At 52.1% G+C, this 2,493-nt stretch overlaps 1 annotated feature.

Annotated features, from left to right (window-relative positions):
- Window positions 1,709–2,209: an enhancer, noted in NCBI's record as "H3K4me1 hESC enhancer chr20:21272495-21272995 (GRCh37/hg19 assembly coordinates)". NCBI's record gives its function as "activates a minimal SCP1, AML or CMV promoter by ChIP-STARR-seq in naive H9 embryonic stem cells {active_cell/tissue: H9 hESC(naive)}" and the evidence as "EXISTENCE:reporter gene assay evidence [ECO:0000049][PMID:30033119]".

The following is a 2,493-nucleotide window of genomic DNA, read 5'->3' as shown; positions in this document are numbered from 1 at the left end:
CCACCCATTGTTCCTAAGCGCAGGGCCTTGTGCCACGGATCTGCACCTCAGCTTCGTACTAAACCATAAACACCCTAGGAAAGTCTCTTCTGTTTCCTCCCCTTGGCCTTGTGTAAAGCTATGCCCAAATATAGTTCTCTTTTTTTTATAACCAGTCAACTTTATTGTGGTATAATTTGCACATATTGAAATGCATCCATTTTAAGTGTACAGTTCAATGAGGTTTGACAAATGTATACATACTCTTGGGCAACCACCACTACAATCACAATATACAACAATTTTTTCACCCCAAAAGGTCTCTTTTGCTTCTTTGTGGTAGAAACTACCTCCCTAGCCCTAGCCTCAGGTGACCGTTGATCTGCTTTTTGTCCCTATACATTAGTTTCATTAGAGTTTCATGTAAATGAAGTCATACTACTTATAGTCTTATATCTGGCTATATTAAGTATAATGTTTTTCAGATTCACCTGTGTTGTGTGAATCAGTAGTTTTTTGGTTTTGGGGTTTTGTTTTGTTTTTGTTGTGTGGTATCTCATTGTATAGATGTAACACAATTTGTTTACCCAGTTACTCACTGATGGTTATGTGGGCTGTTGGATTTTTTGGAATAAAGCTAGTACGAATATTCATGCACAAGTCTTTTTGTGGAAATACATTTTCGTTTCTTTGGAACAAATGGGAATAAAGGATGCATAATAGTGTATATTTGACTTTGTAAAAAACTACCAAACTGTTTTCCAAAGTACTCGTGCCATTTTTCCTAAATATCTGCTTGGTGATTATAGGAGTGGCCTCCATGAGCATTATTGCCATTGTCAAAAACTGTGGAAGCCGCTGGGCACGGTGGCTCACACCTGTAATCCTAGCCCTTTGGGAGGTCGAGGCAGGCGCATCACGAGGTCAGGAGATCAAGACCATCCTGGCTAACACAGTGAAACCCCGTCTCTACTAAAAATACAAAAAATTAGCCGGGCACGGTGGCAGGCGCCCGTAGTCCCAGCTACTTGGGAGGCTGAGGCAGGAGAATGGCGTGAACCCAGTTTGTCCGGAATGGGTGGGTTCTTGGTCTCACTGACTTCAAGACTGAAGCCGCGGACCCTCACGGTGAGTGTTACAGCTCTTAAGGTGGCGCATCTGGAGTTTGTTCCTTCTGATGTTCGGATGTGTTCGGAGTTTCTTCCTTCTGGTGGGCTCGTGGTCTCGCTGGCTTCAGGAGTGAAGCTGCAGACCTTGGCGGTGAGTGTTACAGCTCATAAAAGCACGGTGGACCCAAAGAGTGAGCAGTAGCAAGATTTATTGCAAAGAGCAAAAGAACAACGCTTCCACACTGTGGAAGGGAACCCGAGTGGGTTGCCACTGCTGGCTCGCAGCCTGCTTTTATTCTCTTATCTGGCCCCACCCACGTCCTGCTGATTGGTAGAGCCCAGTGGTCTGTTTTGACAGGGCGCTGATTGGTGCGTTTACAATCCCTGAGATAGACATAAAGGTTCTCCACATCCCCATCAGATCAGTTAGATACAGAGTATAGACACAAAGGTTCTCCAAGGCCCCACCAGAGCAGCTAGATACAGAGTGTCGATTGGTGCATTCACAAACCCTGAGCTAGACACAGGGTGCTGATTGGTGTGTTTACAAACCTTGGGCTAGATACAGAGTGCCGATCGGTGTATTTACAATCCCTGAGCTAGACATAAAAGTTCTCCACCTCCCGCCAGACTCAGGAGCCCAGCTGGCTTCACCCAGTGGATCCCGCACCGGGGCTGCAGGTGGAGCTGCCTGCTAGTCCCCCAGTCCCCCGCCGTGTGCTCGCACTCCTCAGCCCTTGGGTGGTAGATGGGACTGGGTGCCCTGGAGCAGGGGGTGGCACTCGTCGGGGAGGCTCAGGCCGCACAGGAGCCCATGGAGCGGGTGGGAGGCTCAGGCATGGCGGGCTGCAGGTCCCGAGCCCTGCCCCGCGGGAAGGCAGCTAAGGCCCCATGAGAAATAGAGCGCAGCGCCGGTGGGCTGGCACTGCTGGGGGACCCAGTACACCCTCCGCAGCTGCTGGCCCGGGTGCTAAGTCCCTCATTGCCCGGGGCCAGCAGGGCCGGCCGGCTGCTCCGAGTGCGGGGCCCGCCAAGCCCACGCTCACCGGGAACTCCAGATGGCCCGCAAGCGCGCGCAGCCCCGGTTCCCGCTCGCGCCTCTCCCTCCACACCTCCCTGCAAGCTGAGGGAGTGGGCTCCGGCCTTGGCCAGCCCAGAAAGGGGCTCCCACAGTGCAGCGGTGGGCTGAAGGGCTCCTCAAGTGCCGCCAAAGTGGGAGCCCAGGCAGAGGAGGCGCCGAGAGCGAGCCAGGGCTGTGAGGACTGCCAGCACGCTGTCACCCCTCACCAGGAGGCGGAGCTTGCAGTGAGCCGAGATTGCGCCACTGCACTCCAGCCTGGGCGACAGAGCAAGACTCTGTCTCAAAAAAAAAAAAAAAAAGGAGGGATAGCATTAGGAGATATAC

Source organism: Homo sapiens, chromosome 20 (assembly GCF_000001405.40).
Source record: "Homo sapiens chromosome 20, GRCh38.p14 Primary Assembly".
Lineage (NCBI taxonomy): Eukaryota > Metazoa > Chordata > Mammalia > Primates > Hominidae > Homo > Homo sapiens.
Note: the sequence above shows the minus strand (reverse complement) of the source record. Positions and strands in the feature narration are given on the sequence as shown.